Source organism: Homo sapiens, chromosome 3 (genome assembly GCF_000001405.40).
Source record: "Homo sapiens chromosome 3, GRCh38.p14 Primary Assembly".
Taxonomy (NCBI): domain Eukaryota; kingdom Metazoa; phylum Chordata; class Mammalia; order Primates; family Hominidae; genus Homo; species Homo sapiens.
In genome coordinates, this window is record NC_000003.12 from 183,500,443 (window position 1) to 183,514,729 (window position 14,287).

Below are 14,287 nucleotides of genomic sequence, written 5' to 3' on the forward strand. Positions count from 1 at the left end.
TGAACCCTGCTGAAAGAGCAGAGGTTCAGAAGTCAAATGTACCAGCGTTCTATCACCTATGGCCATGTGACCTTGGAGAAGTAACACGATCTCTGTAAACTGCTTGTAATCATTGCTGTGCTATCAGATGACTGTGAGCATTCATAAGGTATGAGGTAGAGGCGTGAGCAGAGCACCTGGCACACACTCGCCCCTCAACAGCTAATTATGCCTGTAGGAGCAGTGGTAGATGCCATGTTGATACTGCTATAAAAGGAAGAGCTGCCCTTCCCTGGTTCCATTGATCCCCTGGGCTCCATGATGAAGGTTCCATAGGTGTGCTGACACAAGGCGGAGAGGCAGCAACCGTTTCCCAGATGGCCAAAGTCGCCAATTTTCCCGCAAAATTAGACTGATCTAACACAGACTACAGAACTTCGATTCTGCCCATAGGTGGTAACAAATAGGTTACAGTAGCAAAGACTGAGCCCTCAGATAGTGAATCCAACCAAGAGCCACAAATAGTCAGACCAGCCAACTCCCAGCCTCTACTTTTCCATAACAGTCTTTGTTTGTTCGGTTGGTTTTCTGTGCCTAGGAGCCTGGTACAGTGAGTTCCGCATCCTCCGTTCTTGAGGCTGGACCACGGCCGTAAAGTTTGTGGCAGGGCTGTTCCTTACAGGTCAGCAGAGTGGGGATGGGTGTGGCTGGACAAAGCCTAGGCAATGGGCTGGCCCTGACGGTATGGACAGCAGAACAGTGCCGGGATAAGGGTGAAGGGGTGGGCCAGGGAACCTGGAGGCACCATGAGAGCACCAAGCTGGCAGGACAGGATCTGGGCAATGGCACCAAAGACAAACTTTGCTGCTCTGCAACTTTCTCTTCAGGTGTCAGCCCTGGTTCCTGTCCCTAAACCACCTTCCCCACAGCTGAGGCACAGCCACCAGCACTAATCTATGTGGTCCTCTTTCGGAGGGGATCTAGGTGTTTCAGGGCAATGCTTAGAAAAAAGCACCGGCCTCCCTGAATTCATTCCCTTATGACCCTTTCTTCACTTCCGGGAACCAGGCCTCAGCCTCCACTCCGAAGCTCCCCTCGTCTTATCTGCAATGCTTGCTCTCCTGACCCAGTAACCTGTTGGGTGATTGAGAGGCTGCTAGGAGGACTGGACTAGCCGTGATCTTACCTCCTGACCCCCAGGGCTGGCACCTCGTTCCTTGGTCCTGACCTACGAAAGGCTCTCCTCCTGCTGGCTAAATTTCCTGGGTCCCTGCCTGCTGCCTGGATCTCCCCATAATATTCTATTCTCAATTTCCCATGCTACCACCCCAATCCACTTACCCTTTAAGGCACTGTGAGTAATTTACCATGTCACTTTGCCCTTTTCTCCAGGAAGCCATTCCTAACTTTGCACACATTCTCATAACCCTGAATTTCCCCCACAACGGCCCTTTTCATGCTTCATTGTAATTTACCGTAAGGCCCCTGATGGCAGGAACAGCCCTTTTTCTCCAGTGGATCCTCAGCACCAAGAATAGTACCTGGAGCTTGTGGGCATCTATAAACATTGATTAAATGAGCGAGTGAGCTGGGTGCAGTGGCTCACGCCTGCAATCCCAGCACTTTGGGAGGTCGAGGCAGGTGGATCACCTGAGGTCAGGAGTTCGAGATCAGCCTGGCCAACAAGGTGAAACCCAGTCTCTACTAAAAATAAAAAAGAAAATAAAAAAATTAGCAAGGTGTGGTGGCAGGCACCTGTAATCCTAGCTACTCGGGAGGCTGAGGCAGGAGAATCACTTGAATCTAAGAGGCAGAGGGTGCAGTGAGCCAACGTCGCAGCATTGCACTCCAGCCTGGGCAACAAGAGCGAAACTCCATCTCAAAAAAAAAAAAAATGAGTGAATGGATGAGTGAATGAATGGGCAAGCTAGGTAACTCAGTCTAAATCATTGTGGTAGTGAGCATCCACGATGGCCCCAGTGATCCCTGCTTCCTGGTATTCACATCTGTGTAGTTCCCTCCATGCTGTTCTAGAATTGGTCTCTATGACCAACAGATTACAGCAGAAGTGATGATACATCACTTCTGAAATTAGGCTATAAAAGGCACTACCAGCTTGCATCCTGATTGCTCTCTCAGTCTTTCTTAGGTCATTTGCTCTGGGGGAGGTCAGCTGATATAGAGATGCCCATATGGCAAGAAACTGAGGCTCCCAACCAGCAGCCAGCAAGGATCTGATGCCTGCCAACAGTACAGTAAGTGTGAGCTTGAATCTCATAATGAACTTTGAGATTACTGCAGCCCCAGCCAAGAGCTTTACTGCAACTTCATAAGAGACCCTGAGCCAGAAGCACCCAGCTAAACCACTCCTACATTCTGACACTCAGAGCCTGTTAGATAGTAAGTGTTTGTTATTTTAAAGTTTTCAGTTTGGGGGTAATTTGTTATGCAGCAATTGAGAACTAACACAATCATCTAGCTGATGGGCTTGGCTAGGGTAATGAGACCTGTCTTATAATTCAGCACCACGGAGCTGCCGAGTGGTGGCATCATTACCACATTGTAAGTTCAGCTACATTTGGCAAAATACTAACCCCAAAGCCATGACAAATGTCAATCTGAAGTCTGAGACGTGCCACTTTGTTGCAGACATATGGAAGTGTTTGCCAATGAATTGCATGCAACAATCAGGCATAACCAGTTTATTTTCAGATTGTTAAAAACAGAGCAGATAATTGCACCTTAATGACTGCTCACTGTCCACAGATCTTATACTAGGGGACAGAGTGAGCATATTGTTTCAGCAAAGCTGTCCTTGGGCTGGAGCCTCTGCTCCCCTTTCCCCACATCACACATGTCAGAGTAATGTTTGGTATAGATCAGGTTCATGTCTGAAAACTTAAGAGGCAGTTAAATGAAGAGGCAAATTTCCTCTGTCCCCAAAGTTCTCTTTCAATGAAGGTTCCAGCTACCATTCCCAAATCAAATGGAGACTGACATTTGCTTTTGGTGTGTTCTAAAATTTCCTGTTGTTAACACCAGTTTAGAGGATGGGCAAGGTTAGAAGAGAAAGATGGGCTGGGCACGGTGGCTCACACCTGTAATCCCAGCACTTTGGGAGGTCGAGGCAGGCAGATCACCTGAGGTTGGGAGTTTGAGACCAGCCTGACCAACATGGAGGAACCCCGTCTCTATTAAAAATACAAACTTAGCCAGGGGTGGTGGCACATGCCTGTAATCCCATCTACTCAGGAGGCTGAGGCAGGAGAATCTCTTGAACCTGGGAGGCAGAGGTTGCAGTGAGCCGAGATCGCACCATTGCACTCCAGCCTGGGCAACAAGAACAAAAGTCTGTCTGAAGAAAAAACAAAACAAAATAAAACAAAAATGGGAAAGATGATGATAGGACAAGAGGGTTAAAGTTTGGTAAATGAAGGGTACGGGGAGAAATGTGTTCACAGAGTAGCCTCCAGGCTCACACTACTGTCATCAGGAGTCAACCCAAGACCATTCCAGCAGGGAGCAGACTGACTCAGGGAATCAACTGGCAATGAGACCCCAATTAGGAGGTCATGGTGGCTGGTTGGTTGGTTCAGTTGTCCAAACTATAAAATGAAGATGAGAAAGTGCCTTGAGAAGGATTTGGGAAAATAAGGCCACAAAAACCTGAGACACAGTGAAAAGACTGGTTTTAACCCCAGAGAAGGAAAATGATTGATTGTGAGAGATGGAGCAACAATAAACGAACCAAGTGGCAATGGCAACAGCTTCCATTTGTGGGGCACTTAGCTTGTACCAGACACTGTGCTAAGCGTTCCATTCATTACTTAACTCTCAAGACAGTTCTATCAGTTGGTAGGTATTATTACCCCCATGTTACAGATCAGAACTGAGCCTTAGCATAGCTAAGTAACTGCCTGAGATTACACTGTAAATAAATTGTGGAGTCAAGATTAACACCCAGATCTCTGCCTGACTCCAAGCCCAGGTTCTCACCACTGAAGAATTTTCCAGATGTCAGAATTCTCTCTCCTCCTAAATCTAAAGCTTATAATGTCTGACTCTGCCCCCAGCACCTCGGAAATACAAAAGGCAATAAAAATATTTCATTGCAGCAATTTTGCAGAAGACAGGGTAGGGACCTTTTATATCAGAGAAAATCTTTATCATCTGCATTTCAAGGACTTAGAAAATAGGAAGCAGAAACAAAAATAGCAAAAATATTGGAAGTATAGTTGATCAAGGCACAGTATATGTTTAAATTGTTTTAAAGTGCTATTTATTTTAACTTTTAGGTTCAGCATGTGCAGATTTGTTATATAGGTAAATTGTGTGTTGTGGGGGTTTGGTGTACAGATTATTTCATCATCCGTATGATGAAATCATACATAAGCATAGTACCTGATAGGTAGTTTTTCAGTCCTCACCTTCTTCTCATCCTCTACCCTCAAGTAGGCCCTGGTATCTTTTGTTCCCTTCTTTGTGTTCATGTGTACTCAATGTTTAGCTCTCACTTATAAGTGAAAACATGCATTATTTGGTTTTCTGTTCCTGTGTCAGTTCACTTAGGATAATGGCCTCCAGCTCCATCCATGTTGCTGCAAAAAACATGATTGCATTCTTTTCTATGGCTGTGTAGTATTCCATGGGAGACACTGAATAAATGCTGAACTGAGGGCAGTTACGGAGACTGAAACCTGTCTGCAATTATATGCAGGCTGTCTGCTAGACATCCAGCATAGAATAGGACCTATGTGGTTTCCTAGGCTCCCCCCATCAATCCACTCATCACCCTTCATTTGTTAAATGTCCCATCTTCTCTGACACACAGACTGTTTAGCAGTACCTGGGTAAGACACAGACTGTTTTTGCAGTACCTGGTGCCATATCTGGCAAGGAATTGGTGTTCAGGATTTATTTGCAAAAAATGAAGGCATAGCGTGCTTAAATACATGGGATGCTGTTTAAGTAGTTTTTAGGGGGAAATTTATAGCATGAAAGCCAATATTAGAAAGAAAGTCTCAAATCAGTGGCCTCCACTTCCACCTTAAGAAACTACAGAAATAAGTGCAAATTAAACCCAAACTAAGCAGAAAGAAAGAAAATAATGATCAGAGTGGAAATAGGTGAAATAGAAAACAGAAAAACAATAGAGAAAATCAAATGAAACTAGACATTAGTTATTTGAGAAAAATCAATAAAATTGATAAGCCTCTAACCAGATTGATCAGGAAAAAAAAAAAGGGCAGACACAAATTACCAATATCTGGAATGAGAGATGTGACAACACTATAGATTCTGCAGGTATTAACAAGATAATAAAGGAATGCTGTGAACAACTTTATGCCAATAAATTCAGCAACTTATATTAAATGAAAAAATTCTTTGAGACACAAACTATCAAAATTCATTCTAGAAGAAACAGAGATCCTAAATAGTCCTATATCTATTAAAGAGATATACATTATAGTTTAAAAACTTTCCACAAAGAAAACACCAGGCTCTGGTAAATTCTACTAAACATTTAAGGGTATGTTTGCAGAGTGAATGAATGAACAGTGGATCTAAGGACAACAAAAAAACTAGAAAAGAACACACAGAAAAAGGGAGAAACTCTAAAAGAACCTCAGACAGACAATTCCTGGGCCACGTTTGGCTAAGGCTTCTACCAATGGCCTAATGAAGAAAGCCTGGTAGCTAATCCCAGAACCACTGCATAGTGAGATATATGTATGGGTGTTCATGTGTACAAACTGTTAACAAACTGTCCCTATATCATTACTTCCTCTCCACTAAATTTGTTCTTGTCTTTATAAAGTTCTGAAGAAAAATCTTCTTCAGGAATTGTTAAGGAGAACCAGGTAGATCCAAATGACATGTTTATTCACCGTTCGTAGTACCCATTTAATCATTCAACAAGCATTTACTAATTACTCATTCACTATATAGCAGTCTCAGGACTCTCTTCTAAGATCTAGAGATGTAAAGTGCAATAAGACATATTTCCTACTATAACAAGCTCCCAGTCTAGAGATATTTACATATAATAAATTCAAATCATTGCCATGCAGCAGTTGGTGCTGTGATGGAGCAATGCACCAAGTGCTATGAGAACACGGAGAGTGGCTGGGTGTGGTGGCTCACACCTGTAACCCTAGCACTTTGGGAGGCTGAGATGAGAAGATCACTTAAGCTCAGGAGTTCAAGACCAGCCTGGGCAACATAGTGAGACCTTGTCTCTACAAAATATTTAAAAATTAGCCGGGTGTGGTAGCACATGCCTGTACTCCCAGCTACTTGGATGGCTGAGGTGGGAGGATCACTTAAGCCTGGGAGGTCGAGGCTGCAGTGAGCTATGATTGCACCACTGTACTCCAGCCTGGGCAACAGAGCAAGACCTCCTCTCAAAAATAAATAAATAAATAAATAAATAAATAAATAAATAAATAAATAAAAGGAGAAGTCTCTGGAGAAAGTGATGCTTGGACTGAGTTTTGAAGTAGGAGTAGAAGTCAGCTAGATGAAGAAGAGAAAAGCATTTGAACAACATTCAGATTGACCTGGAGGCAGAAAAAGCACATCCACTTTGGGGAACCACAAGCTGTGCATTAGGACTAGAGCAGAAGTGGGAGGTTGGAGAGGACACTAGAGAAGCAGGCAGGAGATTAATGATGCAAGACCAGGCTCTGGGAACGTAGGCAGGAAGTATGGGCTTTATTCTGAAAGTGATGGGGAGCCAATGAAGAAGGCAAGCCCAGGAGCAAGATGATCAGACTTGAGTTTCAGATCTTTCAGCTGGTGAATAAATTGGAGGGAGGCCAGACTTGGGGGAGGAAGATGAGTTTTGAGAAATTTCCAGAAATTCAGATGGTGAGAGTCTAAATCAAAGTGATGTCAGAGTATATACAAGAGACACAAGATTTCACCAGAGTGGGCAAGGAAGAGCAGCACCCCCATGGAATAGTGACTAGACAGGGCACGTTCTTGTTTTTTTTGTTTTTTGTTTGTTTTGTTTTGCTTTGCTTTTTGAGACAGAGTCTCCCTCTGTTGCCCAGGCTGGAGTGCAGTGGCGTGATCTCGGCTCACTACAACCTCTGCCTCCCGGGTTCAAGTGATCTTCCTGCCTCAGCCTCCCGAGTAGCTGAGACTACAGGTGCATGCCACCATGCCCACCTAATTTTTTTGTATTTTTAAGTAGAGACAGGGTTTCACCATGTTGGCCAGGATGGTCTGGATCTCTTGACCTCGTGATCCACCCGCCCTGGGCCTCCCAAACTGCTGGGATTACAGGTGTGAGCCACCAGGCCCGGCCCAGGGCACATTCTTGTTTGTGCGTGCAGTGTGACCCCCAACCTCCCACCCTTCCACAACTGGGAAGAGGAAGCACGGGCCAGGCATGGTGCTGGGTGATTTCTACATCTCACCTAACGCGCTCAGTAACTGTCTGAACACGTGGGATCGGCCTCATAGATCAGGAATCAGGGCTTCTGGAACTGACCGACTCAGCAATGAACAGGGCAGTGTTTTCTCCTTAATGCCCTAAGGATTTTTGAATCCGCTTTGCTTGCATCTCTGTGAGCCCCTAGCTAACTCCTTACTTCGCTGGTTAAATATAGCACCTCTTATCTTCTACTCACCTCATTGCCAGAAAGGTGGTACATCCTGGCTTCCTGGAGCAGCGGGAAGACCTCTGGGCACTGCCTGATGAGAGGATCTGCTTCCACCGTCTCCACAAAGTACCACGGGTCCAGAAGCGGTAAGCGCACGTTCTCGAGGACATAGGGGAGTAAGCAGAGTCGTTCTGATGGCTTGTGCCGGACCCAGCTCATCACGGTCTCAAACACCTGAGCCTCCTCGGTCACGTAAAGGTCATCACTCTTCAAGATGTGGTGCAGAGTGTCCACGGGCAGGTCAAGAAACTCCTCAGAGTTCAGAATCTGCACAAAGTTTTGAATGATGTAACTCTGAACCTGCTTCTTTAGACTGTCCAGCGAGTGTGTGTCAGCCAGCCTCAGTATTCCAACGCAGTTTTCTGGGTTCAAGGCTTCAGTGAGGAAGCTGGCACAGGCATCCACCATCCGCAGGAACTGATGAAATAGAAAGGGTGGAAAGGAGGCCAGAAAATGGTGAGTCCACAAGGAGGTTTATCAGTGAGTTATGTGTATTAGCCAAAAATTGGAAACAACCTAAATGTCCAACAGTACAGGATGAGCTAAATACATATAATTCATTCATACAGTAGACTTAAAACAATGAGATACTTACTGGACGAGCTAAATACATATAATTCATTCATACAGTCGACAAAACAATGAGATACTTACGGGAGGAGCTAAATACATATAATTCATTCATACAGTCGACTTAAAACAATGAGACACTTACGGGACTAGCTAAATACATATAATTCATTCATACAGTCGATAGCTCTGTAGATACTTAAAACACATGTTGTAGAAAATATTAAATGAAATAGAAAATGTTCATAATGTATTGAGTTTTAAAATCTGTTCATTGGATCTGATTAAGCCTCTACATTTACTCAGCAATTTACAGGAAATACAGGGAAAGAGGAACCTGCTAAAGACGTCATGGGAACATGATCAGCAAAATCCAGATTGTGGAAAACTCTACTGAACAACTTGTTCAGTTTCTTCAACAAATACATTACAAGGGGATAAAAGAGAGAGAGAAGGAGAGGGAGAACCTAAAGATAAACAGAGATTTAAGACACATTGACCAATTGCAAAGTATGGATCTTATTTGGATTCCTGATTTAAACAATATATATTTTTTAAAGTTGGAGAAATGTTTACAATGACTAATATTTGGTGCTAATGAAACAATTATGATTCATTTTAGGTGCCATAATGGTTTCATGTTTATGTTGAAGAAGAATCCTTATTTTTTAGAGCTATAAGTGAAATATTTGCAGATAAAATGAGAAAAGCACGTCACAAATCATATGTACATTGTGACCTTATTTTTATAAAGAAAACATACACAGAATAAAGTCATAGAAAGAAGATGAAAGGATGTAGGTCAAAATATTAATGGTTGTTATCTCTTTGGGTTATCAGGTATCTTAAGGCAAATTCTGCTGCAGCAGCAAACAACCCTCACGTCTCAGGGGCTTACAATAAATGTTCCTCTTACCCACTATGTGTTCTTCACGGGGCTCTTCATTCCAGGGGCCAGGAAGATGGAAAGCCCTTACCTGAGACATGCTGGTCCCATGACAGAAGGGGAAAAAGATGGCAGAACCACACAGAGGCTTTTAAAGCTTCTGCTCAGAGGGGGCGCATGCTATATCCATTTACACAAAACCGTCCAGAGTAAGTCACATGGCAAAATTTGTCATCAAGGGAACCATAGTTCTCCCACAGAAACAGGTCTCATGGGATGGACAGGGAATATACTATATAAATAATAGAAGGTATGACACTCTAAGAAGACTATGAGAATTTTTCTGTTTTTGTTTATTTATATGTTTTATTTATTTATATATCCTTTAAAATGAATACGTACCGCTTTTGTCATTAAAAAATCAATTTGTAAAATTATTGATTGGCTCTCAGGTCCCACTTTTAAGTTATCACCATCCTCATAAAAATTCAAGTCCCTTGTGCTTGTAGGGCACTTTACAGATGACAAAGCACTGTTATATCCATTATATTTTGTAATATCCATTTTACAGATGACATGTCTCAAATGCATTGGTTCATTCTTATTTGTTGTTCTCTGGAGCTTAGCTTTGAACAATTTCAACCTCCTAGCTCCCTTCCCCGTCTACTGGACTCCTTATAGGGTCAAGTTCTTGGTGCCCATGGGTTGATCGATTAATGGGGGGAGAGGAAAGGGGAGGCTGAGGGGGCAAGACCTGGTGGGGGTGGGGGAGGCCTTCTGAAGGCAGGTCCTGGTGAGAGTAGGGACAGGACAGACCTGACTGGGGAGGGTTGGCAGGAGCTGTGGGGAGTGGGGCTATCGAGCCTGAAGGTTGATAGTGGGGCAGGACTGGTTCTAAGAGTGGACCAAGGTGACCTAGGCTCTGGACTTTACTCCAGAGCATTCCAGGGAACACATCCCTGACTTTTTGGATCAACCTCTATTGCAAAATATTATCTTTCTGTGTCAGATCACATAGGATTGTCAGTTTAAAAAGCATTTTTTAGGCCGGGCGCGGTGGCTCACGCCTGTAATCCCAGCACTTTGGGAGGCCGAGGCATGCAGATCACCTGAGATCAGGAGTTGGAGACCAGCCTGACCAACATGGAGATACCCCGTCTCTACTAAAAATACAAAATTAGTCAGGCGTGGTGGCACATGCCTGTAATCCCAGCTACTCAGGAGGCTGCAGCAGGAGAATGCTTGAACCTGGGAGGCGGAGGTTGCGGTTAGCTGATATCGTGTCATTGCACTCTAGCCCGGGCAACAAGAGCAAAACTCCATCTCAAAATAAATAAATAAATAAATAAATAAAGCATTTCTCCGAGGGTCAATGCTGAAGGGGGCCAGCCCCTCTACACCTGTGGGTATTTCTCGTCAGGTGGGACGAGAGACTGAGAAAAGAAATAAGACACAGAGGCAAAGTACAGAGAAAGAACAGTGGGCCCAGGGGACCAGCGCTCAGCATACGGAGGACCCTCACCGGCACCAGTCTCTGAGTTCCCTCAGTATTTATTGATTACTATTTTCACTATCTCAATAAGAGGAATGCAGTAGGAGAGCAGGGTGATAGTGGGGAGAAGGTCAGCAAGAAAACATGTGAGCAAAGGAATCTGTGTCACAAATAAGTTCAAGGGGAGGTACTATGCCTGGACGTGCACGTAGGCCAGATTTTTGCTTCTCTCCACCCAAACATCTCAGTGGAATAAAGAATAATAAAGCAGCATTGCTGCCAACATGTCTCGCCTCCCGCCACAGGGCGGTTTTTCTCCTATCTCAGAACTGAACAAATGTACAATCGGGTTTTATACTGAGACATTCAGTTCCCAGGGGCAGGCAGGAGACAGTGGCCTTCCTCTATCTCAACTGCAAGGGACTTTCCTCTTTTACTAATCCTCCTCAGCACAGACCCTTCACGGGTGTCGGGCTGGGGGATGGTCAGGTCTTTCCCATCCCACGAGGCCATATTTCAGACTATCACATGGGGAAAGACCTTGGACAATACCCGGCTTTCCAGGGCAGAGGTCCCTGCGGCTTTCTGCAGTGCATTGTGCCCCTGGTTTATTGAGACTGGAGAATGGCAATGACTTTTACCGAGCATACTGCCTGTAAACATTTTGTTAACAAGGCACATCCTGCACAGCCCTAGATCCCTTAAACCTTGATTCCATACAACACATGTTTTTGTGAGCTTAAGGTTGGGGCAAAGAGGTTGGGGCAGTTACAGATTAACAGCATCTCAGGGCAGAGCAATTTTTCAGGGTACAGGTCAAAATGGAGTTTCTTATGTCTTCCCTTTCTACATAGACACAGTAACAGTCTGATCTCTCTTTTCCCTACACAATGCAAAGTTGCAGAAGGCCTGAATTCTGCCTCAGAACCCCATGTCTGCTGGTCTCAACTGCCGGCAGCTCTGCTCTTTGCATGAGCAACCGTGGAAACAGTTGTGAACAAGGCTGCTAACACCTGTTTAGTCGTTGGCAGATTTTCAGTTCAAAGACTAAAAATATGCAACAAAGACCAAGCCTCGTGAGCCCTCAGAACTGGACACCAGAACCCTATCTGGCCCTGTTCACAGAGACATCTATGAGAGCTGAAAGGAAACTCACTTAAATGGTAGCCCCCAGTGCAAAATACCACGATCACCATGCCAGCGTTTGCGTGAGGGGAAGAGGAGAGGAAAATTAAGTAGATATTTCTAGGAACTTAGACTACTCTGGGAGGCCACATAAGACCTGATAACAGTAGTTGTTTCTATTGGTGATAATGAAACAATTATTATTCATTTGAGGTGCAATAATAGTTTCATGTTTATGTTTAAGAAGAATCCTTATCTTTTAGACATAACTGAAATATTTGCAGATAAAATGAGAAAAGCACTTCACAAATCATATTATGTACATTATGATATTTTTTTTTTTTGAGACAGAGTTTTGCTTTTGTTGCCCAGGCTGGAGTGCAATGGCATGATCTTGGCTCACCACAGCCTCCGCCTCCCGGGTTCAAGAGGTTCTCCTGACTCAGCCTCCCAAGTAGCTGGGATTACAAACATGTGCCACCACACCCAGCTAATTTTGTATTTTTAATAGAGATGAGGTTTCTCTATGTTGATCAGGCTGGTCTCGAACTCCTGACCTCAGGTGATCCACCCACCTTGGCCTCCCAAAGTGTTGGCATTACAGGCATGAGCCACCAGGCCGGGACTATGATCCTATTTTTATAAATAAATAAATAAATATATATATAAAATAAAGTCATAGAGGCCAGGCACAGTGGCTCACACTGTAATTCCCATCCAATTTCAGGGAAGAAAGGGAGAATTACTTTACCCTCTTCACCACTTCCTATCCTCTCCAATTGTGTGTAAGAAATACCTACCTAAAATAGACCAACTTTCTCATTTATAGAGAAAATACTAGAAGGTAACATACAAAATGTTAGCAGTGGTTATAGATAAAGTTATTAATTTTTTTAGAGTTTGTTGTATGACAACTTTACTATACTGAGCATGAACATTATAAACTCAGGAAAAAATACGTAAAATAAACACATTATTGTGATTTTTAAAGGACGCAATGAGAAAATAAAAGGTAAACACTAAAAGAGCACTTACTATAGGCCAGACTCTACATACTAACTGTAAGAGTTACTCAATCCTCACCACAATGCCATGAAAAGGGTATCTATTATCATCCCTGAGGAAACCAGATTCAGAGAAGTAATTTCCTCAGAGACTTACAGTTAATAAAAGATAGAAGCAAAGTTTGGACCAGTCATCTCTGATTCCAAAAATGCATGTTTTTTATACTATTTCAAGCTGCTGCAGGTCACAAAATGTGTGTGGGGGACAAAGGCTTGGCAGATGCCAAACGTCATTTGCACACGTCACTGGGTAGCTCAGATGACCTGATCTGCCCTGACACAGGAAGGACTAGCCAACAAGATGCCGGTTCCTATTCCTGCTTGGTGGCTGTTGATGAGCAAAGAAGGAAACCACAGAGGAGAATCAAATCAAGTACTGAAGCTCACATTTGTTAGAAGAAGCATTGATCTTCACTCCACCTGGCAATTCATCCATCCAGCTACCTGTGTATGGACCGAATGTGAATTGAGCATGTATTTCTTTTTTTTTATTTTACTTTAAATTCTGGGACACTCGTGCAGAATGTGCAGGTTTGTTACATAGGTATACGTGTGCCATGGTTTGCTGCACCTATCAACCCGTCATCTAGGTTTTAAGCCCTGCATGCATTAGGTATTTGTCCTAATACTCTTTCTCCCCTTCCCCTCCACCACCCGACAGGCCCCAGTGTGTGATGTTCCCCTCCCCGTGTCCATGTGTTCTCATTGTTCAACTCCCACTTATGAGTGAGAACATGCGTTGTTTGGTTTTCTGTTCCTGTGTTAGTTTGCTGAGAATGATGGCTTCCAGCTTCATCCATGTCCCTGCAAAGGACATGAACTCATCCTTTTTTATGGCTGCGAGCATCTATTAATATTATGTAGGAGGCTCCCAACTAGTGCTGGGTGTACAGAGGTGAGCAGAGACAAAGCGCCTGCGCTCATTGAAGCCGACAGACCAGTGGAGGCAGCAGACGCTAACCAAATAATACAACACGGAGTGTGGAAGGACACTTGAGATAAATGCTATGGACCAGAGTCCAGGGACTCCATTGCCTGAAACCAAGGACAGTCCTACCCCCACCCCTTCAATCTTCCACAATCTGGCTGTCAGTCATCACCAGGAACCTCCCTTTCAGAACTCTAGCCACAATTGCACCCATCTCCTCACCTCCTCCAAGCAGTCCTGGAGCTGCCCTGTTGCAGTGCCTTTCCACGCTCCTGCCATCTCTCGGCCTGAGCTGCCTTTCCTCATCATCACCATCTGTTATGATCCTACGCGCCTCACCCAGACAAGCCCAACTCCAGAGCCCAACTTTTTAAGGAAAGACTCAGGATAGCTCACCCCATTTTCAACAGAGAAATCCCCCTGTAAGTTTACCTCAAGAAGAAGGAAGACATAAATATTATAGCCATGACTCTATCCACACAGGGCTGTTTTCTTTCTTTTTTTAAATTTAATTTAATTTTTTTTTTTTGAGATGGAGTCTCTCTCTTGTTGCCCAGGCTGGAGTACAGTGGC

General features: G+C 44.0%; 1 protein-coding gene across 3 annotated transcripts in view, besides 2 other annotated features; it reads right to left on the reverse strand.

The window, feature by feature from the left end:
• The window catches only part of KLHL6 (kelch like family member 6), a 68,156-nt gene that overhangs the window by 12,892 nt on the left and 40,977 nt on the right, over positions 1-14,287 (reverse strand). For all 3 annotated transcript variants that reach the window (XM_011513274.4, NM_130446.4, XM_011513273.4), the window contains one exon: positions 7,617-8,066. In XM_011513274.4, the coding sequence (XP_011511576.1) occupies positions 7,617-8,066 (450 nt within the window). The remainder of the gene's footprint in view (positions 1-7,616; positions 8,067-14,287) is intronic.
• Positions 7,386-8,585: an enhancer, noted in NCBI's record as "CDK7 strongly-dependent group 2 enhancer chr3:183225616-183226815 (GRCh37/hg19 assembly coordinates)". NCBI's record gives its function as "activates an origin of replication core promoter dependent on BRD2, BRD4, P300/CBP, MED14 and CDK7 cofactors, with strong dependence on CDK7, by STARR-seq in HCT116 cells {active_cell/tissue: HCT116}" and the evidence as "EXISTENCE:reporter gene assay evidence [ECO:0000049][PMID:35650434]".
• Positions 12,931-12,980: an enhancer, noted in NCBI's record as "active region_20890". NCBI's record gives its function as "activates an Ori minimal core promoter by ATAC-STARR-seq in GM12878 lymphoblastoid cells {active_cell/tissue: GM12878}" and the evidence as "EXISTENCE:reporter gene assay evidence [ECO:0000049][PMID:35858748]".